General features: G+C 39.6%; 1 protein-coding gene across 30 annotated transcripts in view; it reads left to right on the forward strand.

Annotated features, from left to right (window-relative positions):
* Window positions 1–25731, forward strand: part of ITSN1 (intersectin 1) — a 257361-nt gene that overhangs the window by 57436 nt on the left and 174194 nt on the right. For 25 of the 30 annotated variants that reach the window (XM_017028428.2, NM_003024.3, XM_017028431.3 and 22 more), the window contains 3 exons: window positions 18861–18920; window positions 21242–21334; window positions 22652–22715. In XM_017028428.2, coding sequence (XP_016883917.1) covers window positions 18893–18920; window positions 21242–21334; window positions 22652–22715 — 185 coding nt within the window. In that variant the 5' untranslated portion in view covers window positions 18861–18892. Of the gene's footprint in view, window positions 1–5725; window positions 16620–18860; window positions 18921–21241; window positions 21335–22651; window positions 22716–25731 lie in introns of those variants that run through there. The other 5 variants (XM_047440943.1, XM_047440944.1, XM_047440947.1 and 2 more) reach the window with 1 other exon arrangement.

Raw genomic sequence — 25731 nt, forward strand, 5'->3', positions numbered from 1 at the left:
TTTTTTGTAGAGACAGCATCTTGCTATGTTGCCCAGGCTGGTCTTGAATTCCTGGCCTCAAGAGATCCTCCTGCCTCAGCTTCCCAAAGTGCTAGGAGTATCGGTGTGAGCCACCTGCCCTGCTTGAATTGTTTTTTTTTTGTTGTTGTTTTGTTTTTTTTTGGAGACGGAGTCTTGTTCTCTGTTGCCCAGGCTGGAGTGCAGTGGCACGATCTCAGCTCACTGCAACCTAAACCTCCTTGGGTTCAAGCAATTCTCCTGCCTCAGCCTCCCGAGTAGCTGGGATTGCAGGTGCCCACCACCATGCCTGGCTTATTTTTGTATTTTTAGTAGAGATGGCATTTTGCCATGTTGGCCAGGCTGGTCTCGAACTCCTAACCTCAGGTGATCCACCTGCCTCGGCTTCCCAAAGTGCTGGGATTACAGGTGTGAGCCACCGCACTTGGCCCTGAATTGTTTAAATATGAAGATGAAGAGGTCTCTGCTGTCCTTACTCCTCTGGCCTCTAATACCTTCTAGCCATCTTGCCTTACTTTGGAAGGGAGGGAGACAGATGTAGTTGTTCACAGTTGAGAGCTGCTGAAACACTGTGACTTTATGGACAGTAGTAGGGAGAAAGCAAGCCTAATCCGTTTATAAATGTTCCATTATATACAAAATACCCTTTCTACCAACAGTAGGTTCTTAATTACTGACACCAGGCATGCTTTGGTTGTGACTCCAGCAGCGCGGGTTGGTGGCATCTTACACTGAACAGCCTGGGCCTCCACTCTCCCCTTCTGTAAATTTTGCCTGTCACTAATTGTTTGGGCCCAGTTTCTTCATTTATATAAGAGGATTATAAGATTTTTGTGAGGGGATGGTCAATAATTAAGTGAAAAACAGATGATGTATGTTCATAATCACCTTTTAGTCTCTAGGTCATTAAGCCTAGATTAGCCTATTTTGGTGTATTAGAAATTTGCTGATTATCTGGACTATGTATTAGTAGTACATGTAGAAGATTTCTTTTTTCTGTGTGTGTGTGTGTGTGTGTGTGTGTGTGTGTGTGTGTTTTCTTATAGATGTGGTCTCACTCTGTTTCCCAGGCTGAAGTGCAGTGGTGCAATCTCAGCTCATGCAATGCCACCAATCCATGTTGCTGGAGTCACAACCAAAGCATGCCTGGTCTCAGTAGTTAAGAACCTACTGTTGGTAGAAAGGGTATTTTGTATATAATGGAACATTTATAAATGGATTAGGCTTGCTTAGGCCTGGGTTCAAGCAATCCTTCCGCCCTAGACTCCTAAGTAATTGGAACTATAGGCACATGCCACCACGCCCAGCTAGTTTTTGTGTATTTTTTGTAGAGACGGGGTTTTGCCACGTCACCCAGAACAGCCTTGAACTCCTGTGACTGTTGTGGGAAATTGATCTAGACTCAAGTGATCTCCCTGCTTCGGCCTCCAAAAGTGCTGGGATTACAGGTGTGAGCCACTGTGCCTGGCCTGTAAATATGTTTGAATTACCTCATTTCATCTTGCATGCTTGTTATTTTTAACATGCCTTTTCTCCCTTTAATTTTTAAAAAATTTGGCTGGGCATGGTGACGCACGCCTGTAATCCCAGCACTTTGAGAGGCATAGGTGGGTGGATCACTTGAAGCCAGGAGTTTGAGACCAACCTGGCCAACATGGTGAAACCCTGTGTCTGTTAAAAAAAAAAAAAAATTAGCCAAGTGTGGTGGCACGCACCTGTAATCCCAGCTATTTGGGAGGCTGAGGCAGGAGAATCACTTGAACCCAGGAGGCGGAGGCTGCAGTGAGCAGAGATTGTGCCACTGCACTCCAGCCTGAGTAACAGAGCGAGACTCCATCTCAAAAAAAAAAAGGCCGGAATCCTAGCACTTTGGGAGGCTGAGGTGGGCGGATTGCCTGAGCTCAGGAGTTCCAGACCAGCCTGGTCAACATGATGAAACCCCGTCTCTACTAAAAATAGAAAAATTAGCTGGGCGTGGTGGTGGGTGCCTATAATCCCAGCTACTGGAGAGGCTGAGGCAGGAGAAGTGCTTGAACCTGGAGGGCGGATGTTGCAATGAGCCAAGATTGCACCACTTCACTCCAGCCTGGGCGAAAGAGCGAAACTCTCTCTCAAAAAACAAAAAAACAAACAAAAAAATTTTTTTTTTTTTTTTTTTTTTTTTTTTTTTTTTTTTTTTTAGACGGAGTCTTGCTCCGTTGCTCAGGCTGGAGTGCAGTGGCACTATCTCAGGTCACTGCAGCCTCCGCCTCCCAGGTTCAAGCGATTCCCCTGCACTCAGCCTCCTAAGTAGCTGGGATTACAGGTGCTCACCACCACACCCAGCTAATTTTTATATTTTTAGTAGAGATGGGGTTTTGCCATGTTGGCCAGGCTGGTCTCGAACACCTGACCTCAGGCGATCTGCCCACCTCGGACTCCCAAAGTGCTGGGTTTACAGGCGTGAGCCACCGCACCTGGCCAAAAAAATTTGAAAATTTTCAAACATTCAGGAAAGTTGAAAGAACAGCACAATGACATACTTGTTTTAAAAGACCAATTACAGTTTAATTATTTGATATAAAGTTAAGTTTTAAATTATGCCAGTAATTAATACTTTAGACATTTTATTCCACATGGTTAAATTTTACCTTTTTAACTATTCAACTTAGTATTTATGTGCTAGAACCTAAAATCCCTAATTGTTTATGTTTTGTTTTGATTTTTATTTTTTGGAATTGTTGCATATTTTCTGAATAATCTTCCCATGTTTATGATAGCAAAACATTGGAACTGAAATAACAAATCTGTTTCAATATACTTTTTTATCATGCAAAATGACATTTTAATAAATATTGTTTTAGCCAGGCACGGTGGCTCACGCCTGTAATCCTAGCACTTTGGGAGGCTGAGGCGGGCAGATCACCTGAGGTCAGGAGTTCAGGACCAGCCTGGCCAACATGGTGAAACCCTGTCTCTACCAAAGTACAAAAATTAGCCGGGCATGATGGCCGGTGCCTGTAATTCCAGCTACTCGGGAGGCTGAGATGGAAAAATCGCTTGAACTTGGGAGATGGTGGTTGCAGTGATTGCAGTGAGCCGAGATCGCACCACTGCACTCCAGCCTGGGTGGCTGAGCGAGACTCTGTCTGTGTGTGTGTGTGTGTGTGTGTGTGTGTGTATACACATATATACGTATATATAAATTGTATATATATAAAGAAAGAATATATATATAAAGAATATATATGCGTATATATATAAAGAAATAAAGTTGTTTTAAGGATGGTCATTCTAGTTTATAAATACATGTTTATTAGAGGCCTTCTACTTATCTATATCAACATTAGGGATTTTAATGTAAGTGCCAAAATTAAGGATCATCAGTATTTTTTCTTTTGACTTTCTGTAATTGGCTCTTTTTTCCTGAAGCTGAAATGAAGAAAGATTAAAGACTTCTTAAACATATTCTAGCTTTGGTTTAAAAATCTGAACATTATCCAAACTTGAAGAAACTATTTACCTGTTTCTTCATTGCTTAATACTTAGTCTCTATGTTTTTCTATTTTTTGTACCTAAATAAGGAGTGTTTGTCTCAATAAAATATCTAGGTCCAGCAATATGTTTAGAAAGGTTTTAATAACTTGCTGAAAGCATGCATTTTGTGTAAAGTGTGGCAAAGAAGGAAACAATTGTACTTTCACTGGGAAAAGACTAAAAGGAAATATAAATACCAAGCTGTTGATAGAGGTTGCCTTCGGAGAGTGGAATTGTGGATTTTTTTTTCACCTATCTTTTCAGTTTTCTAAATTTCCCACAATTGTCACCTATAACCTTTAAAGGGGGAAAGTGTAAGCAATCATGATGTAGGCCCTGTTGTAAAACAGAAGTAAATGGGACTGTGCCTATTTGCCTACTTGGTGCTGCCCTTTTCCGTGTGTTGTCTCCTCGCCGAAGAGCTCCGGGCCCTTAGCCCTGAGGTGCTGCCTCTGCTTGGGGCTGAGCTTCCTGCACTCCTGGGTAACTCTCCTGCTTTCTAGGCCACAGGGCCAGGGACCTCAGAGAGAAGAATGCCTTTCCTTTTCTCTAGGTATGTTTCTGTTTGTTTTCAGCGTAGGTGACCTACCTTATGCTGCTGAAGTCCCCTCATAGAGATAGAACTGATTTCGTTCACTTTTTTCTTTTCTTAACTGCTCTAGGCTTTCTGTTAGATTTTCAAAAAATGTGTGACTTCCTGCTTACATATGGTAAATGTTTACACGTCAGGAAGCTTTTCCTTTTTGTGTGTAAGAAGTAGAAGCTCACTGGACTTATATGTCAGCATTCTATTAATCTTAATTCCCCCATTTTGTTTCTGTGATCTGCTATGACATTACAAAAAAAATTGGTTTATCTTTCTTCTTTCGTTTTCCAGTGCCTTTATTGCATGGAACAGTATCCCCTGCACCCACGCTTCACCCTGGTTAGTTTACCAGGCTAACTACTTTGTGCCTCTTTGGTGAAGTTCGTATTCCTAAAAGTATGAGGTTATCATCATGGGCTCTGAATCCAGACTCTCTCTTCCATTGTTTAATAACTGTATAAACTGTGTTTTAGTCTCTGGAAGAGGGAATACTAATAATATTTAGTCCATAGCTTTGTTAATAGGATTAAATTGGCTAATATAGGTCAGGTGTACTTGCAAGCACTTAAACTTTCCATTCGTTATTATAAGCTATTACTATTAAGGATCATGCCAGTAAATCCTCACCAAAATTGACTTCATTATTTTGGCATAATGTTATTGTAGACTATTATCTTTGATTCCGGGAGTAAGGCTAAGTTGTCATTTGAATGAGATAAGGACCTCGAAATCAGTTGTAAAGACAATCTTGGCCGGGCGCGGTGGCTCACACCTGTAATCCCAGCACTTTGGGAGGCCAGGGTGGGCAGATCACGAGGTCAGGAGATTGAGACCATCCTGGCTAACATGGAGAAACCCATCTCTACTAAAAAAAAAAAAAAAAAAAAAAAATACAAACAAAAACATTAGCCAGGCGTGGTGGCAGGTGCCTGTAGTCCCAGCTACTTGGGAGGCTGAGGCCGGAGAATGGCGTGAACCTGGGAGGCAGAGGTTGCAGTGAGCCGAGATCGGGCCACTGCACTCCAGCCTGGGCAACAGAGCAAGACTCCGTCTCAAAAAAAAAAAAAAAAAAAGACAAAATGTTTTAATGAGGAGATAAAAATCACTGAACCAGCCTGTTGTTTTTATATTGGATCAGTATAGCTTTGTACCGTACCTGGAAATAAAAATAAAAATTTTTCCTGAGTAAATTAATAAGATGTAGGAAAGATATTAAGGTTTATTTTTAAGTAAGCTCTAAATAGAAATGATAATCTGATTATAAAAAGAAGAATATGAAAAATATTTAATATGCTAGTGCTCTGACTCAAAAATTAAAACCTACATTTTTTCTTTATTATTTGTTTTTTGAGACAGAGTCTCGCTCTATCACCCAGGCTGGAGTGCAGTGGCACGATCTCAGCTCACTGCAAGCTCTGCCTCCTGGGTTCACACCATTCTCCTGCCTCAGCTTCCCGAGTAGCTGCGACTACAGGTGCCTGCCACCACACCCGGCTAATTTTTTTTTTTGTATTTTTAGTAGAGACAGGGTTTCACTGTGTTAGCCAGGATAGTCTTGATCTCCTGACCTCATGATCCGCCCGCCTCAGCCTCCCAAAGTGCTGGGATTACAGGCGTGAGCCACTGCACCTGGCTAAAACCTACATTTTTTTCAATTCTCTTTTTAACATTTGAAAATTTTGCTTAATCTAAAATATACTCCAGAAGTTTAAATGGAAAGACCTTAATAAAATATTCAGTCAAATGCTCTTCCTTTAGAAATGGAGGTACTGAAGTTCATTTCTCCTATCATTCTAAATTGATGTTTCATTTTGACTATATATTTAGTGAGTTATGGCAGTAAAAGCAGCTTTAATTTTTTTTCTGAAAGCCTACTCATATTGGAGCCCTTTATAACTTGCCTCTTGAAGTATATATATTTATTCATACAAATCAAACACTGATGTCTGTGAAGTTTCATATCATCTTTTATATTTGAATTTTGTTCATATACTTATTGTCACCCAGGCTGGAAGTACAGTGGTGTAATCTCAGCTCACTGCAACCTCTGCCTCCTGGGTTCAAGTGATTCTCCTGCCTCAGCCTCCCGAGTAGCTGGGATTACAGGCATGTGCCACCATGCTGGCTAATTTTTCTATTTTTAGTAGAGATGGGGTTTCGCCATGTTGGCCAGGCTGGTCTGGAACTCCTGACCTCAAGTGATCTGCCCACCTCAGCCTCCCAAAGTGCTGGGATTACAGGCATGAGCCACCAAGTTTTTAATTGATGGCATTTTAAAGAATACCTCATATTTTATACTTTCCAGACATTTTCCCCACTTATATGAAATTTAAAATGAGAGTATAGCTGTTATTTGTTACTTGGTCATAAAGGTATTTGGAAAAGCACTGATCTTAGAATTTTAATAAAAGGCATTTATTACCAAAAAAAAAAAAACACTGGATATATTGACCTTAAAATGAGTAATTAGTATTTTCCAGTAAAGCATTTTGGATTCAACATAGACTATGCTTCACCCTACCTCACTTCTATTAGAAAACCTTTTTTAAAAAGAAATTTTCTTTTTGTCAGCTTTAGTAAATAATGTCATTCAGGATTCCTATTCACAATCTGAGATCTGCCACTTAACTTGCTCAGAAGCCTTACAGTCCACACCATTTGTTCTATCCTTTCAATTCAGGTTTTATTTGTTTATTTATTTATTTATTTTTTTTGGCGTGCTGTTGCACAATCTTGGCTCACTGCAACCTCTGCCTTCTGGGTTCAAGTGATTCTCCTGCCTCAGCCTCCCGAGTAGCTAAGGTTACAGGCGTGCGCTATCACGCCCAGCTAATTTTTGTATTTTTAGTAGAGATGGGGTTTCACCATGTTAGCCAGGCTGGTGTTGAACTCCTGACCTCAAGTGATCCACCCGCCTCGGCCTCCCAAAGTGCTGGGATTACAGGTGTGAGCCACTGCACCTGGCCTCAATTCAGTTTTTAACTTGAGCTTAAACGAGATATTTTTTAAAAGTTAAAATCTGTGTTGAGGCATATCAAGAATTGCTATGTCTCTTGGGGGAGAGATGTGAATTCCATCAACATAGATATGCTAGTTTATAGTGAACTGTTAGGAATGCTGTACCCTTGACTCATACTTAGTCTTTTCTTTGTGGCTTGTGGCTCTCTTTTCAACTTCATTAACATGTAATTGAAGTGTACTAAATGCATATACTTATTTTTTATGTTTTTTCAATTTTTTATTTTTTGTGTGTGTTGGGGGGTCTCACTATGTTGCCCAGGCTAGTCTTGAACTCCTGGCCTAAAGTGATGCTCCCACCTTGGCATCCCAAAGCACTTTACAGATGTGAGGCACTGCACTTTAAATGTGTATATTTAAAAATGTACAGTTTGGTTAGTTTTGACATGAGCATATGCCTGTGAAATCATCATTCCCAAGAGAGCAAACACTTCTGTTCCCCCAAAAGGTTCTTGTGCCTCTCTGTTTTGTGTCCTTTCTTCTCCTCCCATCTTCAGGAAACCACTGATGGGGTTTTTGTCACTATAATTAGTTTACATTTTCTAGAATTTTTCTGGAAGTGGAATCATAGATATATACTTCTTTTTTAATCTGACTTCTTTCACTTAGCATAATAATTTTGAGATTCACGCATGTTGTTGCCTGTGTAACAGTTGGTTACTTTTTATTGCCAAGTAGCATTTCATTGGATGGATAGATCATCATTTGTTTATTCATTGATCAGTTGATTGACATTTGGGTTTCAGTTTTTGGCTCTTAAAAATAAAGCTTGATAGTACATTTGTATAGAAATCTTTGTGTGGGCATAAATTTTCATTTCTCTTAACCAAATACCTAGAAGTAGAGTGGCTAGGTGGAGTGGTAGCTGTGTAATGTTTTAAGAAAACTATATTTTTAAAAGTTTGTACAATTTTACATTCCTCTCAGCAGTGTGTAGAGCTGTTCCACATCCTCACCAACACTAGATGTGGTCATTCTTTCTCATATTAGCCATTCTAGTGGAAATATAGTGGCATATCAGTGTGATTTTAGTTTGCATTTCCCTGATGATTAATAATGTTGAACATCTTTTCATGGGTTTATTGCCCATTTCTAGAAGTTATTTTACATCTCAGCCATTTCCTCACTGAGCTGTCTTATTCTTAAATTGTAAGAGTTCTTTAGATATTGTGGATACAAGTACTTTTTCTAATGTATGTGTTGCAAGTAAGTGTTTTCTTTGTGGTTTGCTTTTTTGTTTTCATAAGGGTTATCTTTTGAAGAACTGTTTTTTTGTTTTTTTTATTACTTTGAAGCCCAGTTTACTAATTTTTTCTTTTTTGTTTTTTTTTGAGATGGAGTTTTGCTCTTGTTGCCCAGGCTGGAGTGCAATGGCGCGATCTCGGCTCACAGCAACTTCGCCTCCCAGGTTCAGGCCATTCTCCTGCCTCAGCCTCCAGAGTAGCTAGGATTACAGGCATGCGCCACCACGCCCGGCTAATTTTGTATTTTTAGTAGAGACGGGTTTCTCCATGTTGGTCAGGCTGGTCTGGAACTCCGGACCTCAGGTGATCCACCCGCCTTGGCCTCCCAAAGTGCTGGGATTATAGGCGTGAGCCACCGCACCCGGCCTAATTTTTTCTTTTATAAATCATGCTTCCTTGTGTTTTGAGAAATTGCCTAGCCTAAGTTCAGGAAGATATTCTCCCATCTTTTAAGATTTTTATATGAAGCATATATGGTTTTGCATTTAGGCCTAGGACCCGTTTTGAATTAATTTTTGTGTATTATGTAAAGTGTCAGTGTTGGCTTTTCTCCCCACCTGGATATCCAGTTGATCCACTTTGTTTGTTGAAAGACTTTTTTCCTCCAGTGATTTGTCTTTACAACTTTGCCAAAAATCAGTTAACCAAACGGGTAGGTCTTTCTGAACTCTTCTTTTCTGTTTTATTGATCTGTCTCTTTACACCAATCCCAAAAGGCCTTGACTACTGTTGTTTTATAGTAAATCTTGAAATCAGGGTAAATCTTTCAACTTTGTTCTTTTAAAAAGTTGCTCTGCTTATTCTAGGTCTTTACTATCAGCTTGCCGATTTCTGCCACAAAGCCTGCTGCAATTTTGATTGGGATTGCATTGAATATACAAACCCTTTGGAAAGAATGGCATTTTCACAGTATTTAATCTTTCAACCCATGAACTTAGTATCTTAGTACCATTTATTTAGGTCTTCTTTAAGTTTTCTTCGCAATATTTTGTAGTTCTAAGTGTAGAGGCCTTGTATATGTTTTTTTGTGTGTTTGTTTGAGACGGAGTTTCACTCTTGTTGCCCAGGCTGGGCCTCCCGGGTTCAAGCGATTTTCATGCCTCAGCCTCCCAAGTAGCTGGAATTACGGGCATGTGCCACCATGCCTGGCTGATTTTGTATTTTTAGTGGTCAGGCTGGTCTCGAACTCCTGTCCTCAGGTGACTCACCCGCCTTGGCTTCCCAAAGTGCTGAGGTTACAGGCGTGAGGCACCGCGCCCAGCCTGTCTTTTGTTAAATTTACATTTAGAAATTTTACATATTTTGATGCTACTGTAAAACAGTTGTTTTTCTTAATTCCACTTTCCAATTTTTTGCTTGCTAGTATTTAAGAATTCAGTTCATTTTAATACATTAACCTTTTATCCTGCAGTTTTGTTAAATTCACTTATTGAATATAGTTATTGTTTTCTAGATTCTCTGGGATTTTCTATATAAATAGTGATATCTGTAAATAAGGAGAGCTTTATTTTTACTTTCCAATCTTCATGCCTATTTTTTGCTTGTTGTTTTTCTTGTCTTATTACTTTATTGAGTAATCTCCATATCAGTGTTGCACAGAAGTGGTAAAAGCAGATATCCTTGTCTTCTTCCTGATCTCAGGCTGAGAAATTCAGTCTTTAACCGTTAACTGTGATGTTAGATGTAGGTTGTTCATGGATCCCCTATATCTGTTTGTAGAAGTTTCCTACTAATTCTAATTTGCTGAGAGGCATTTTTTTTTGTTTTTTTTTTTTTTTGAGACAGAGTCTCGCTTTGTCACCCGGGCTGGAGTGCAGTGGCATGATCTCGGCTCACTGCAAGCTCTGCCTCCCGGGTTCACGCCATTCTCCTGCCTCAGCTTCCCGAGTAGCTGGGACTGCAGGCACCGGCCACCACGCCTGGCTAATTTTTTGTATTTTTAGGAGAGACGGGGTTTCACCGTGTTAGCCAGGATGGTCTCGACCTCCTGACCTCGTGAACCGCCCGTCCCAAAGTGCTGGGATTACAGGCGTGAGCCACCACACCCGGCCTGGTTTTTTTTAATCATGATTGGATGTTGCGTTTTTGTCAGAAGCTTTTAAAAAAATATCTGTTCACATGATCATATGGGCTTTCTGCTTTATTCTGCTAATATAGTATATTACATTTTCTGAATGGTTTAATCTTGCCATTTCTAGGATAAACTATTTGGTTATATTTTAGTATCCTTTTTATATAATATTGATGTTCAATTTTTAATTTTTGTGAATGATTTTTGTATCTGTATTCTTTAGGGATCTTGTTCTATTATTTTTTGTAACGTCTGTGAGGTTTTGGTATTATAGTTGTATGACCTAAAAAAGTGAAGTGGGTAGTGATCTCCTTTTTTTTTGTTTGTAAAACTTTTCATAATTTTTGTATTATTTCTTCTTTGAAAGAATTCACCAGTGAAACAGACTATGGCTTTCTTTTGGGGGAAGTTTTTTGTTTTTTTTTTTTTTCTTTTGAGACGGAGTCTTGCTCCGTCGCCAGGCTGGAGTGCAGTGCTGCGATCTCGGCTCACTGCAACCTCCGCCTCTTGGGTTCAAGTGATTCTCCTGCCTCAGCCTCCTGAGCAGCTGGGACTACAGGCGCGTGCTACCACACCCAGCTAATTATTGTATTTTTAGTAGAGACGTTGGCCAGGATGGTCTCGATCTCCTGACCTCGTGATCCCAAAGTGCTGGGATTACAGGCATGAGCCACCGCGCCTGGCCGGGGAAGGTTTTTAATGATAAAATCAGCTTCTTTAATAAATATAAGAGTATTCACATTCTCGTATCAATTTTAGTAAGCTTTATTTTCCAAGAAATTTGTTTCTTTTATCTACACTGTCAAATTTATTGGCATAAGGCTTTTTACTATTTCTTATTTTTTAAATGTTTGTAGGATTGATGGGGATGCCCCTTATTTCTACGATTTTTTTTTCTCTCTGTATCTAGCTCGAGGTTTGTAAATTTTTTTTTTCAAAGAACCAAAGTTTGATTTTGTAATTTTCTCTATTGTCTGCATTTTTATTCATCCTGCCATATCACTGTAATTTCCTTTCTTCTACTTACTGTTGGTTTACATTTCTTTTTCCAAGTTTTTTTCTGTTATTGTTTAGATTACTAACATTTAATGTAATTATCGGTTGTTGGAATTAGACCTGCCATCTTCCTATTACTGGTTTTGTTTGTCCTTTCTGTTTTTTTTTCTTTCTTTCTTCTGTTTCTTTTTTCTTGACATCTTTGGATTTTTAACATTCCATTTTCATTTGCCTCTTGACTTTTTGGCTATGTCTTTTTCTGTGTGTTGTGTGTGTGTGTGTGTGTGTGTGTGTGTGTGTGTGTGTTGTGTAATTGCTCCAGGTAGTAAATATATTTACTTAACCTTTTATTATCAGCTTAGAGTTAATATTTTATCACTTCACATAGAATGTAGAAGGCTTGCAGCCATAAAAGTCCCTTTACCCTCCCCCCAGAGACATTTATGTTACAGTTGTCATATGTGTTATATTTATGTTGAAACCCTACTACACAGTGTTACAGTATTTGCTTTCAACAGTCTACATATTTTAAAGACCCTAATAGGAAAAATAAATTTATATTTACTCAGATGTTTGCCATTTCTTTTGCTCTGCTTTCATTCTTAAAGATCTCAGCTTCTCTCTAAAATTTTCATTTGATTCTTTTTAAACTAGTTTTTCTTTCTCTGCTGATAACTTGTATCTTTCCATGCATTTGTGTTTGTGTTTGCCTCATGGAAAGTAGGTGTAATGGCTGTTCTACAGTCTTTGTGTGATAATCTCAACATTTTCATTGTCTTGGAGTTGGCATCTGTTGATTGCAATTTTTTTTTTTTAAGAATTTGTCAGATTTTCCTACTTCTTTGTATGTCCAGTAGTTTTGGATTATATCCTGGACATTGTGAGTTTCATGTTGTATAGATGTTGTGTGCTGTTGTAATCCTCTGCAGAATGCTGTTTGTTTCAGTAGGTATCTAACTTGGTTAGATCTGCCTTGGTTATATACCAGACTATAAATTCTCTATGCTGTCTGTGGACAGGGGTTCCTTTCTCAGTTCAGTTTTCAAGACCAGTGAGTGCTGTGCTTCTTTGAGCCTGCCGTGCATATCCATATCTCAGGTGTGAGCCTAAGACAAGCGGGAGTTAATTCACACAATGGCAGGTCCCATTTCTACCTTCTTTCCTCTCTGGTTTTCCCCACACTTTACAGCCCACAGGTGCCTTTTTCATTAGTTCCTTTAACCACAAAGACCGTGTTTCTGTTGGAGTTTTAGTCTCTGCACCTGTGCTTCACTGCATAGCTCCCTGACTGGGGCCCACCTGTGGGGCAGAGTTGTAGAGAAAAGACAAAAAAGAAAGTTTTTACTCCATGGAAAGGAAACTTTTTAGAAACTTTTTACTCACCTCCCAAATCTGCCTGCTTTTGTCTACTTCTTATTGTCCTCAAGTATTATAGTTACATTTTGTGTTCTGTCTGCTATAGCAGAAGCAGAACTCTGGTTTGTGACATTTTATTTTATTTTTATTTTTGAGACTGAGTCTTGCTCTTGCTGCCCAGGCTGGAGTGCTGTGGCAGGATCTCGGTTCACTGTAACCTCTGCCTCCTGGGTTCAAGCGATTCTTGAGCCTCACCCTCCTGAGTAGCTGGGATTACGAGTGCCCACCACCACGCCCATCTAATTTTTGTATTTTTATTAGAGACAGGGTTTTATCATGTTGGCCAGGCTGGTCACGAACTCCTGACCTCAAGTGATCCGCCTGCCTTGGCCTCGCAAAGTGCTGGGATTCCAGGTGGGAGCCACCGTGCCTGACCAGGTTTTGTGACATTATTTAATGTGTTGGATATGTGATTATTCTTTTTCAACATGGTAGCCTTTTTTTGTTTTTGTTTTTGAGACGGAGTCTTGCTCCGTCTCCCAGGCTGGAGTGCGGTGGCACGATCTAGGCTCACTGCAAGCTCTGCCTCCCAGGTTCACGCCATTCTCCTGCCTCAGCCTCCCGAGTAGCTGGGACTACAGGCGCCCGCCACCACGCCTGGCTAATTTTTTTTGGTATTTTTAGTAGAGACGGGGTTTCACCATGTTAGCCAGGATGGTCTCAATCTGCTGACCTCATGATCTGCTTGCCTCGGCCTCCCAGAGTGCTGGGATTACAGGCGTGAGCACCACTCCCGGTCTCAACATGGTAGCCTTTTACAAATTACTATATTTTTTTCAAATTGTAGTAATTCATACAGCAAGCATATATAATGGTAGGACAAAACACCTTAAGCCAAGATGTCATCTCCATGGTCTGTCCAGGTAGCATAGAACACAAAAGGAGATGTGATTGAAAGATGTTGCTTCATCTACATGTTTCTACTATTGTCTGGGGTTCCTTAGGAGCCAAGGAGAACCTCGCTGTGATTGGCATTGGAAAGACCTGTGGTTGGAAGAAAATTACCTGGGAACATTCCAGCCTCATCTTTTTTTTTTTTTTTTTTTTTTTTGAGACGGAGTCTTGCTCTGTCACCCAAGCTGGAGTGCAGTGGCGCTATCTCGGCTCACTGCAACCTCCGGCTCTCGGGTTCAAGCAATTCTCCTGCCTCAGCCTCCTGAGTAGCTGGGACTACAGGCATGTGCCACCACACCGGGCTAATTTTTTGTTTGGTGGAGACGGGGTTTTACCGTGTTAGCCAGGATGGTCTCCATCTCTTGACCTCGTGATCCACCCGCCTTGGCCTCCCAAAGTGCTGGAATTACAGGCGTGAGCCACCGCCCCTGGCCCAGCCTCATCTTTAAGCCATAATTTGGCTATTGTGTTAGTGAATAAACCTGAAAGGTACATCTTCATTCATACATAAACATAATTTAGTTTTCATTAGGTAGATTCCTTGTTCACATCCAGCTGAGAACATGACACTAAAGAAATCGGGCTTTAATTGGGGAGGGAAAGAGAGAGAACGTGGAGTCCCTTTGGTTGTCACTTAAGAGATACAGATGAAGGAGAAGTAGAGTTGGAGGTCAGAAGGGCCAGAAGGTAAATGTAGTCTAATATTAGTCATAGTGAGGTGAAGGCTTTTGGAGGGTAGAGATTCACCTAGGGTGAGAATTATTTCCTAAGTTCTAGAGTAGCATGGTAAATAACAAATAGTCTTAGGTGCTTTGTCAGGAACTGATAATGACTACAAGTATATTTGAAATCATAAGAGTTATATTTATGTTTGCTGTGATCCTCTCATAGTAGCTGTGAAATATTTAAAGTAAGGCATAAAATTATTATATCTATATCTATATCTATAAGTAAAAATGGTCTATTTTAATGCCTTCAGTATCATAGTTGAGTATTAAGCTAATGCTAACTTCATAAAATCATTTTTTCCTAAGATAATTTTTGAGATTTATAGGAAGGTAGAAATGCATGCATTTCCTCTGGATTTGCCATTTGTTGCATAGTATTATGTATAACATTTTCTTAAACAAAAAGCTTAAAGAAAATATTAGCAAATCAAACCTAGCTGTGTAGTGAAAGAATAACATGCATATATGAATTGGTCTATTGTACAAATTCTAGGATAATTCAGTATTTGCAAATATGTCACTATAATTCAGAATGTAAGTAAAGGAGAAATTCATTATCTCACTAGATGCTTAAAGAAAGCTTCTGAAAAAAATTTAGCCATTTCTTAATAAAATTATAAAAAATAGGAATAGAAGGAAACTACATAAATATGGTAAATAATCTTTACTAAAATACAACAACAAACCAACCTATTAAAATATGAAATACCAAAACTGTCACTGTGAAAGTCACAGGCAATACAAAAATTATTGCTATCACAACTATTTTGTATAGCTTAGTATTATTGCTTTGGGCTAGTAATGTAAGGCTAAATTCTTTATTTCCAGAAAATATAGGTCTAGGAAATCTAAAGAGATTCATATGTGAGACTATTAGCACTAATAAGAAAGTATGGTAAAGTAGCTGGATACAAAGAAGAGAAATCAATAACCTCTTTATTTTGCAACACAGTAAAAAAATGGAAGTAAAACTGAATGAACAGAATGTATTCTCATATATATTAAATATCTGTTTTACTATGCATTTAAAATCCAGAGCTTACCATTTTTGGGAAACTCTACAAAAAGATATATGACATGTTGATTCCAAAAGGATTTTATGAGGACTAAGTGAGATAAAACACACTAAAATGTTCAAGAGAATTATCAAGGTTGCCTATACAATATATTGAATGAGAAATTGTCGAGGAAAAGAAAGGCAGCTGCAATTTCTAAAGGGAATCTACAGTGAGAAGTAGTCTGATTCACAAACCTCTGGTTAAATATGGTGTCTTGACTACACTTGTTTTCTCCTTCCCTAAAGTCTGCAATAATCTCAAAGGAAGCTTAAAAATGTTAATTCATAGCTGGGCAGATGGGGTGTTGTCACCTGTAATCCCAGCTACTTCGGAGGCAGAGGCAGGAGAATTGCTTGAACCCAGGAGGTGGAGGTTGCAGTGAGCCAAGATTGCACCACTGCACTCCAGCCTGGGGACGGAGTGAGACTCTGTCTCAATAAATAAATAAAATAATAAAATACATAAATAAGTGAAATCTTAATTCATAAGGAGAAACATAACAGTAAAGGAGACAGTGACCAAAGATTTTAACAATTTTTCAAAACAGAAAGTGAATGGAGGGAGTAGTAACTGAGTTCACAGAGAAAGATACCACCTAAGTACCTGCAGAGGTCAGTTATGGAGATAACAGCATGCCCCAGGGATATCTTGAGAGAGTTCCTTGTGCTTGGGGGCTCCACGTATTCCAAAAGGCTGAAGTCAGTTTTACAGCTCACAGTGGAAATTCCTTAAAAGTCCATATCCAGATCTCTTAGACCTTCCTCTCCTACACTCCAGCAGATGGGTAACTACTTCAGTCCCGTCTGCTGGGGAAATGGGAGGAGCGCTAGAACCGGAAGTGCTCCAGACTAGAGAGGTGAAGCACGGGATTGAAAGTCAAGTGAGCCTGTACAGGTCTGCACACTGAAGTGTAGGGCCCTACCTCCTTCCTTCTTCACTCCTCCTCAAGGCAGCACTTAGATGAGTTGATCCCTTCACACCCCACCCAGCAGTTCGTTCTACCTGGCAAAACTTAACAGCTTCGGTGAAGAAACCTCCACATTACTGAACATTTGGAGGTGTCCCAATGAAAAGGTAACTCAATATACCTGATCATTTTACAGAGAAGCCCATCAGTCAACAAGCTTGCCACCCACGCTGAGCTTGGGCAGTTTTTTAGTGCCTCATTATTAAATATGGAGGCGCATCCAGGGACCACTAGATATACAAGGAAAACCTTAAAAGTGAAAGAGACGACCGAGACAGGCGGATCACAAGGTCAGGAGTTCGAGACCAGCCTGGCCAACATGGTGAAACTCCATCTCTACTAAAAATACAAAAATTAGCCGGGCATGGTGGGGCGAGCCTGTAATCCCAGCTACTCAGGAGGCTGAGGCAAGAGAATTGCTTGAACCTGGGAGGCAGAGGTTGCAGTGAGCTGAGATCGCCTGGGCAACAAAGCAAGACTCCGTCTCAAAAAAAAAAAAAAGTGAAAGAGACCCAGTCAATGAGCCAATGAACAAAAAAGGAACCCAGAGGAATCCAATGATCCAAGAAACAGAAGAACAGAGAACAAGAAAGTGCTTTTGGAAATTTAAAAATGTGATAGTTGGAAAAAACTTCTGTGGACAAATTGGAAGATGAAATTGAGATGTATTAGGGCAAGAGACTCATTTTTTTTAATTTAAATTTAAGATTTTAAATCTGTGAGTATTTAGTACTCATTCTTTTTTTTTTTTTAATTTTTGTTTTTGAGACAGGGTCTCTCTCCAGTTGCTCAGGCTGGAGTACAGTGACACCGTCTTAGCTCACTGTAGCCTTGACCTCCCGAGCTCAGGTTATTCTGCCACCTCAGCCTCCTGAGTAGCTGGGACTACAGGCTCATGCAACCACGCCTGGCTAATTTTTGTATTTTTACTAGAAACAGGGTTTTGCCATGTTGCCCAGGCTGATCTTGAACTCTTGGACTCAAGTGATCTGCCCGACTCAGCCTCTCAAAGTGCTGGGATTACAGGTGTGAGCCACTGTGCCCAGTCAATACTCATTTTTAACTGTGCATTTACCCTGTTAAATTAAACGTAAGGAAAAATATTCACTAAATCTGGATTTTTTTGAGACGGAGTCTGGCTAAGTCACCCAGGCTGGAGTGCAGGGGTGCAATCTCGGCTCACTGCAAGCTCCATCTCCTGGGTTCACGCCATTCTCCTGCCTCAGCCTCCCGAGTAGCTGGGACTACAGGCGCCCGCCACCACGCCCAGCTAATTTTTTTTGTGTGTGTGTGTGTTTCCAGTAGAGATGGGGTTTTACCGTGTTAGCTAGGATGGTCTCGATCTCCTGACCTTGTGATCCGCCCGCCTTGGCCTCCCAAAGTTCTGGGATTACAGGCGTGAGCCACTGCGCCCGGCCCTAAATCTGGATTTTTGTTTTTAGTTAGAGAAGAGGACTGGCTTTTTTTCACATCGGCTGTTGATGAATAAATAATGCCTGATGGAGATTTTTGGAGCATTAGATTTGTGTTTGGTAGTCTGGGACAGATGTTAGTGTAATATGCATTGTTTACAGGATATGGAGTTAGCAGGACAGCTAACTCCACAGCGTTTGGTCACCAAACGAATGATATCGTGCTAATCACGTACCCTTTCTGATTTTCATTTACCTGATCCATAATATGGGGATGGTAATAATGGTAACCTATCTCACAGGGCTGTGATGATGAGTAGAAGAGATAAGACCTATAATAAATTACCTAGTATAATGTGTAGCATGTACTAAATGCTCAATGAAAAGAAGCTTTGATTATAACCATCAAGTAGATGGACTGGTAATTATAGATGGTTAAGAAAAAGGTACAGTCAGCCCTCCGTATCCATGGGTTTCACAGAGTCCATAGGTTCAGCCTACCATAGATTGAAAACATTTGGGGGAAGAAATTATGTCTATACTAAACATGTACAGACTTTTAAGCTTACAGAATAACAGTTGTTTACATAGCATTTACCTTGTATTAAATATTGTAAGTAATCTAGAGATTATTTGAAGTATGCAAGAGGACGTGCTTAGGTTATATGCAAATACTGTGCCATTTTATATCAGGGACTTGAGGATCCACGGATTTTTTTTTAATCCATGGGAGGTCTTGGAACCAGTGTTCCTGGGATAATGAGGGACAACTGTATACTTAAAAAGTAACACGTGAATGAATGAATTCCTTAATTGTAGAGCTATGCTCTGGCTCTAGTATTAGTCCTCTGACCATTAAAGATAGCATGTTGGTGTGTTTATGATTATACAGGAATTAAGTTTTCATAAACTTAAATGTTGCATTTTCACTTACAGGCGTCGATTAGCAAGGTAAAAGTAACAGAACCATGGCTCAGTTTCCAACACCTTTTGGTGGTAAGTTTTCAGAAATTTCTCTTTTTAATGTACTTTGGGACCAGATTTTAAAAACTTGATATTATGGCAAATTTAAAATTAAAAAGTAGAGAAAATAATATAATCAGCATTCATGTATTCCATCATATAGTTTCATTAATTATCAACTCATGCCCAATATTGTTTCATCTGGATTCTTTTGGAGCAACTCCCAGGCATCATTTCATCTATAAATATTTTAGTATGTGTACCTAAAAGATAAGAAAACGTTTAAAGACATAACTTCAGTACCATTATCACATCTATAAAAATTTACAATACCGGGCCGGGCATGGTGGCTCACGCCTGTAATCCCAGCACTTTGGGAGGCCGAGGCTGGTGGATCACCTGAGGTCTGGAGTTCAAGACCAGCCTGGCCAACATAGTGAAACCCTGTCTCTATGAAAAATACAAAAATTAGCCGGGCGTGGTGGCAGGCACCTGTAGTCCCAGCTACTTGGGAGGCTGAGGCAGGAGAATGACATGAACCCGGGAGGCGGAGGTTGCAGTGAGCCGAGGTCGCACCACTGCACTCCAGCCTGGGCGACAGAGCAAGACTCCATCTCTAAATAAACAAACAAACAAACAATACCATATTATTGTACCTGTAAAATGTTCGCTACATCTAGTCTGTACCTTATAGTCTTTGGACATTTCCCTGATAGTCTTTAGACATTTCTTGTTATGGTTTGTTTGTTTAAATTGGGATCCAAATAAGATACAAACATTGCAATTAGGTCATGTGTTTCCCAAGTCTCTTAGTGAATTTTCCCCCACTCCTCTGTTTTTTTATCAGCAAGTTATTTGTTGAAGTGATGGGGTCATTTACACTTTTTCAAAGCCTGGATTTGAAGCATGACATTTTTGTTTGTTTTACTTCAGTTAAACTAAACATAAGTTTGAAACATATCAGTCTGCATAAAATGTGTTTTTTGGGTAATTTTTCCTAATGTTATTAGGAAATTGTTAAGTGTTCTTGCTTACACCCAAGTTACTTTTTAACAAAAATACTTATTAAAAAGTACTTATTAAAAAATACTTATTAAAAGTTCATATTAACGGATTACTCTTGGAAGCTGTCTAATCTTGTCATGAAGAGAGTAAAAGTCTCCGTGGGATTCTGGTACAGAGATCTGTAAACTTTTAAAAATCACTAGTTATTCTATTTTATTTTTGTCCCCCTTCTTAATTACTGTACAATTTCTGGTTTTTGTTTATAGTTACAGGGATGAATTCTGACAGGGCAGTGAAAATTTCTTCTAGAAGTTGCAGAACTGTAAGGCCTGTGAGGAAGGGGTCATTTCTGTCTTGGACACCCGTTCATCCCCACAGTAAATATTTTTCCAGTGACTGAATGGATTTTTACTTTATCTGTCAGTGTCATCCCAGACCCGGTAGAGAGGAGAGATGCAATGTTTAGATGTTTTTGCTGGTGTGCTGGGCACATTCACATTTTGTGTGAAACATACGTATTGTGTATTCCCAGTTTTGTGGAAGGTGTCCGAGCTTTTGAAAGCTTTCATGTATGTAATCTAGAATTATTTTAGTCAATTTGAGGAGACCTAGGACTAAAGTCTGCAAGATCTCAGTCGTGAGTGGACATCTAGTCAGCCTAAGAGCTGAAACTGAAGGAAAACCTAAAACCCATTCTCTTTGGCTATTATTTCATATCAGGACATCCCCTGCCCTTCTTTTTTTTTAAGTCTGTTTCCTGCATACTGAGATACCTGTTTTTAAAAACAGCTTTAGTGAAATATAATTTATATTCCATAAAATTTACTAGCTTTAGTTGTATAATAATTTTTAGCAAATTATATAGAGTTGTGCAGCCATCACCACAATCTAATATATTAATATTTTAATCACCCCCCAAAAGATTTTCATGGATATTTATCACACTCACCTTCTTCTTTCATAACTTTTGCCTGTGGCATTTAAGGCACTTGAGAGTACAGTTTTAGGTTTAAGTTAATTTAGTCTGTTGCTTGGGTTTATGTAAGTAAATTATTAATTTACTATAATCTTGCTAACTATGGGATTATAAAACAAGTTTCTAAAAAAGGAATGTGTGCCTCTTCTTTTCTTTCCCTCCCATTCTCTCTCTTTCTGTTTCTTACATTTTGTGTCCTGTTTTACACTTTTCTAACTTTATATGCATAACTTCCAAGGACAAGAAGATGTGAATTTATCAAGTCTTTATAATACATTGACAGAATCTTGAAGTGCTGTGGAAATAGTGTGTGAGAGCATTTTGTTTTCCTTTTCTCACTGAATAATTTGTTTGTCTTTTCTTTGGATTTTAGGCAGCCTGGATATCTGGGCCATAACTGTAGAGGAAAGAGCGAAGCATGATCAGCAGTTCCATAGTTTAAAGCCAATATCTGGATTCATTACTGGTAATCACAGTCAGCATTTTTTCATTTTTACTTATCAGTAGTGCAGATGTCTGTGGAAACTCTATCATGCAAAGACGAGATGGGCAAATATGACCAAGGAGAGACATTTACCTGTTTTGCCCTAACCTTGTGCCTGTCCTTTTACAATTTTTTTACACATAATGGAATCATACCTTGTTTGCAATTTTTAGTGCATGTCAAACCACTTGTTTTGTGCATGTAATTTATGGGAATTGGTTAAGATCAAAGGACCAATGGCTCACACCTGTAATCCCAGCACTCTGGGAGGCCGAGGTGGGCAGATCCCTTGAGGTCAGGAGTTCCAAACCAGCCTGGCCAACATGGTGAAACCCCGTCTCTACTAAAAATAAAAAATTAGCTGGGTGTCGTGGTGGGCGCCTGTAATCCCAGCTACTTGGAGGCTGAGGCAGGAGAATTGTTTGAACCCTAGAGGCAGAGGTTGCAGTGAGCCGAGATCACGCCACTGCACTCCAGCCTGGGTGACAGAGCGAGACTCCATCTCAAAAATAAACAAACTAATTTTCCTGTTTGATTATTTTTCAGAATTCACTTTATAAAAAGTGGAATCTTTATTTCCAGGGGAATTGTTCTGCTACCATGCCCAGCTAATTTTTTCTTCTTCTTTTTTTTTTTGAGACAGAATTTCGCTCTTGTTACCCAGGCTGGAGTACAATGGCGTGATCTCGGCTCACTGCAACCTCCCCTTCCAGTTTCAAACGATTCTCCTGCCTCAGCCTCCGAAGTAGCTGGGATTACAGGCACCCACTACCATGCCCAGCTTATTTTTTATATTTTTAGTAGAGATGGGGCTTCACCATGTTGGCCAGGCTGGTCTTGAACTTCTGACCTCAGGTGTCGTTCTTAATCATTGTTATTTATTCTCTGTAAATACTTCAGAAGTACCCAGAATTTGGAGTATAGGTATTGGGAATGGCAAATAACTTTTTTTATAAAGTGAAAGTATGGGTCATCAGTTTCCTAAGGATTTCTATAAATGTGCTTTTGCACAATGGGTAGCTGTTCATATCTTAGTTAATAGCAGATTAATTAAAGTGGAAAATCTATGCCAGGAAATGGTAGGCCCTTTTTGAGATGATTTTTTGAATTCTAAAGTCAGTGCTGATGGATTCTTTTACTGTTGCCTATGGGCTTATCCTTGGACTTTTATAATGCACTCAACTGGTATTTATAGTATTACCAGCCTCTTTGTAAATTTTGTAATTTTGCTATTACAGGATTTCTGTCAGCTGTTGTTTTTTTTTTTTTTTCCTGAAACTTTTTCTGTTTAATTTACAGGTGATCAAGCTAGAAACTTTTTTTTTCAATCTGGGTTACCTCAACCTGTTTTAGCACAGATATGGTAAGTTGGAATTTTACATGAAATTTTACATAAGCATAAGGCAAAATAAAATATCGTTTTGTTCTATTTGGTAATATGATTTCTTATGTTATAAAAGGAGAACATGTATCTCTAGCCTGAAATATCTTGTTACTTCTTACCAGAGAGTTATGTCTGAAAAGTGTCTTTCTCATATGGAACTAAAACAAAACAACAAAAAAAGTGGTGACATTTGAATGACAACACTGTCAAAAAGTTGAATTTCCATGGAGACATCTAAATTTTGGTGTTCCTTCACCAATTAGTTTTGGCTTCACCCATATCACCCACATTTATTTGAATGTCCCACATTTCTTGCTTTATAATGGAATGATTTTTTATCTTTCATTGACTGAAGAATAAAAGGTAAAGAAAATATTTGAGAGTTAGTGCATGGTAAATCCATAACATTAATAGATAATAGTGAATTATTTGACTATCACAAATAGGCATTCAATCTTTTAAGCCACAGGAAATACAGAGAGTATAATAAAAAGGGTGGCAAATACAGTTTTGGATTCTTGGCTCATGGCTTTGGAGAGCCATGCTGAATTCTGTTGTCCTCTAAGATGTCTCATTTTTTTCACCAAGGGTGCTTAATACTTCACTTCCCTGAGTTAATTAGTGATACGAAGGCAGCTCGCTATGAAGAAAGAGCATGTAGGCTGGGCGCGGTGGCTCATGCCTGTAATCCCAGCACTTTGGGAGGCCGAGGCGGGCGGATCACGAGGTCAGGAGATGGAGACCATCCTGGATAACACGGTGAAACCCCATCTCTCCTAAAAATACAAAAAATTAGCCAGGTGTGGTGGCGGGCGCCTGTAGTCCCAGCTACTCGGGAGGCTGAGGCAGGAGAATGATGTGAACCCAGGAGGCAGAGCTTGCAGTGAGCCGAGATCATGCCACTGCACTCCAGCCTGGGCGACAGAGCGAGACTCCGTCTCCAAAAAAAAAAGAGCATGTGATTTGTAGTCGTACACCTGAGTTTGATTCCCAGGTGTACCATTTTCAGTGTCTCTGATTTGGAGATACAGTTACCCTCTTTGACCTCAAGTTTTCTAATCTAGAAAATAGGAATGGTTATAGTTTTGTGAGAGTTGTTGAGAGGATTCCAGAAAAACCAAGGACTTATTGTGGCTCCTGTCACATAATAGGCCCTCAAAGTAAAACCCAAAAAGGTATCATCTCCAGGGGCTGGGTATTCTACATAACTGAATTTTCCAGCTAACTACTTTGTCCTCTTAAATTACCAAACTTTTAAATTTATAATCTTGTGGAAATTAATAAAGGTTGATACAGCTTTTTGTTTCTTTTAAGCACAGTCTACAGAACACAATCTAAGCTTTTCTTGATGAAATGTCATCATTATGAAAATTAGTAACTGTCCTGAAATAGCAAAACTTTCACAGGAGATTGTGTGTGTGTGTTTGTGTGTGTGTGTGTGTGTATTTGGATATATTTGAATTGAAACGAAATGATACCAGATCTCTGTGCTTTTTTTGGGTATCTGCTTTATTTTCTTTTTCCTGGTTGTCAGCATATTGGCCGCCAGACTGTCTCTAAACTAGTGTGCTTGCTCCTCTGAAGCCATTCTAATTCTAACTTCTGATCTATTAGAGCTAAAAAATCAGATAACCAAGCGGTTTTGGAATTACAGTTTAAGTAAAGTAAGATGCTCAGATGAAGAAACAGCCTGCAAGAAAGAAGTCATGTGCAAGTGAGCACAGAAGCCCTGTTCTGTCAGTTAAATGTGAAAGTTTAAACGCAAGAGACCTGTGGCACCTTTGTGAATTTTAACAAGCTTCTGCTTTGCAGCTCATACATGATCATGTCTCATACCATCAGGACCTCTCGCTGGAACCTTCTTCCGCAGACTTAACTTCCTCCACTGGATTATGCTTTTGTGTTATATTCCCAATTTTTCAAAGTTCATTTATTCTTTCAACATTGAAAAATTATTTATCAGATATCTCCTGTGGGCCAGGGACTGTTAAGAGGTGCTGCGGATATAGCAATGAACAAAATAGACAGAATCCATTCTTTTACTGAAACGGCAGTCTAGTGGAGGGAGACAATAACAACACAAAAATTGTCACATGGTGGTAAGTGTGGTGGAGAAAAATAAAATACACTCTAATGAATTTCATTTTTTTTCTTCTGTTTTTTGTAAAGGTGGGATCTTGCTATGTTGTCCATGCTGGTCTCGAACTCCTGGACTCAGGCCATCTTCCTGCCTTTGCCTCCCAAAGTGCTGGGATTATAGGTGTGGCCACCATGCCTGGCAAAGACAACTGTCTTAATTGAAAAAAGTGACATTTGGCTGGGTGTGGTGGCCCACGTCTGTAATCTCAATGCTTTGGGAGGCCAAGGTGGGAGCATCGCTTGCGCCCAGGAGTTTGAGACCAACCTGGGCAATATAATGAGCCCTCATCTTTAAAAAAAAAAAAAAAATTTTTTTTTTTTGTTTTTTTTTTTTTTTTTTTGAGATGGAGTTTTGCCCTTGTTGTCCAGGCTGGATTGCAATGGCACGATCTTAGCTCACTGCAACCTCTGCCTCCCGGCTTCAAGCGATTCTCCTGCCTCAGCCTCCTGAGTAGCTGGGATTACAGGCGTACACCACCACGCCTGGCTGATTTTGGTATTTTTAGTAGAGATGGGATTTCACCATGTTGGTCATGCTGGTCTCAAACTCCTGACCTTGTGATCCACCTGCCTCGACCTCCCAAAGTGCTGGGATTACAGGCGTGAGTCACTGTGCCCGGCCAAAAAAATTTTTTTTAATTAGCTGGGCATTGTGGTGCATGCCTGTAGTCTTAGCTGCTAGGGAGGCTGAAGTGGGAGGATTGCTTGAGCCCTGGAGTTTGAGGCTGCAGTCAGCTATGATTGTGCCTTCTAGCGTGGGTGACAGAGCAAGACCCTGTCTCTAAAAAATAAAAACAGTTGTCCTAACTTTCTAAACTATTTTTACCTGAGTGGCCCAAAGTCAGGTTTTTATAAT

Source organism: Homo sapiens, chromosome 21 (assembly GCF_000001405.40).
Source record: "Homo sapiens chromosome 21, GRCh38.p14 Primary Assembly".
Taxonomy (NCBI): Eukaryota; Metazoa; Chordata; class Mammalia; order Primates; family Hominidae; genus Homo; species Homo sapiens.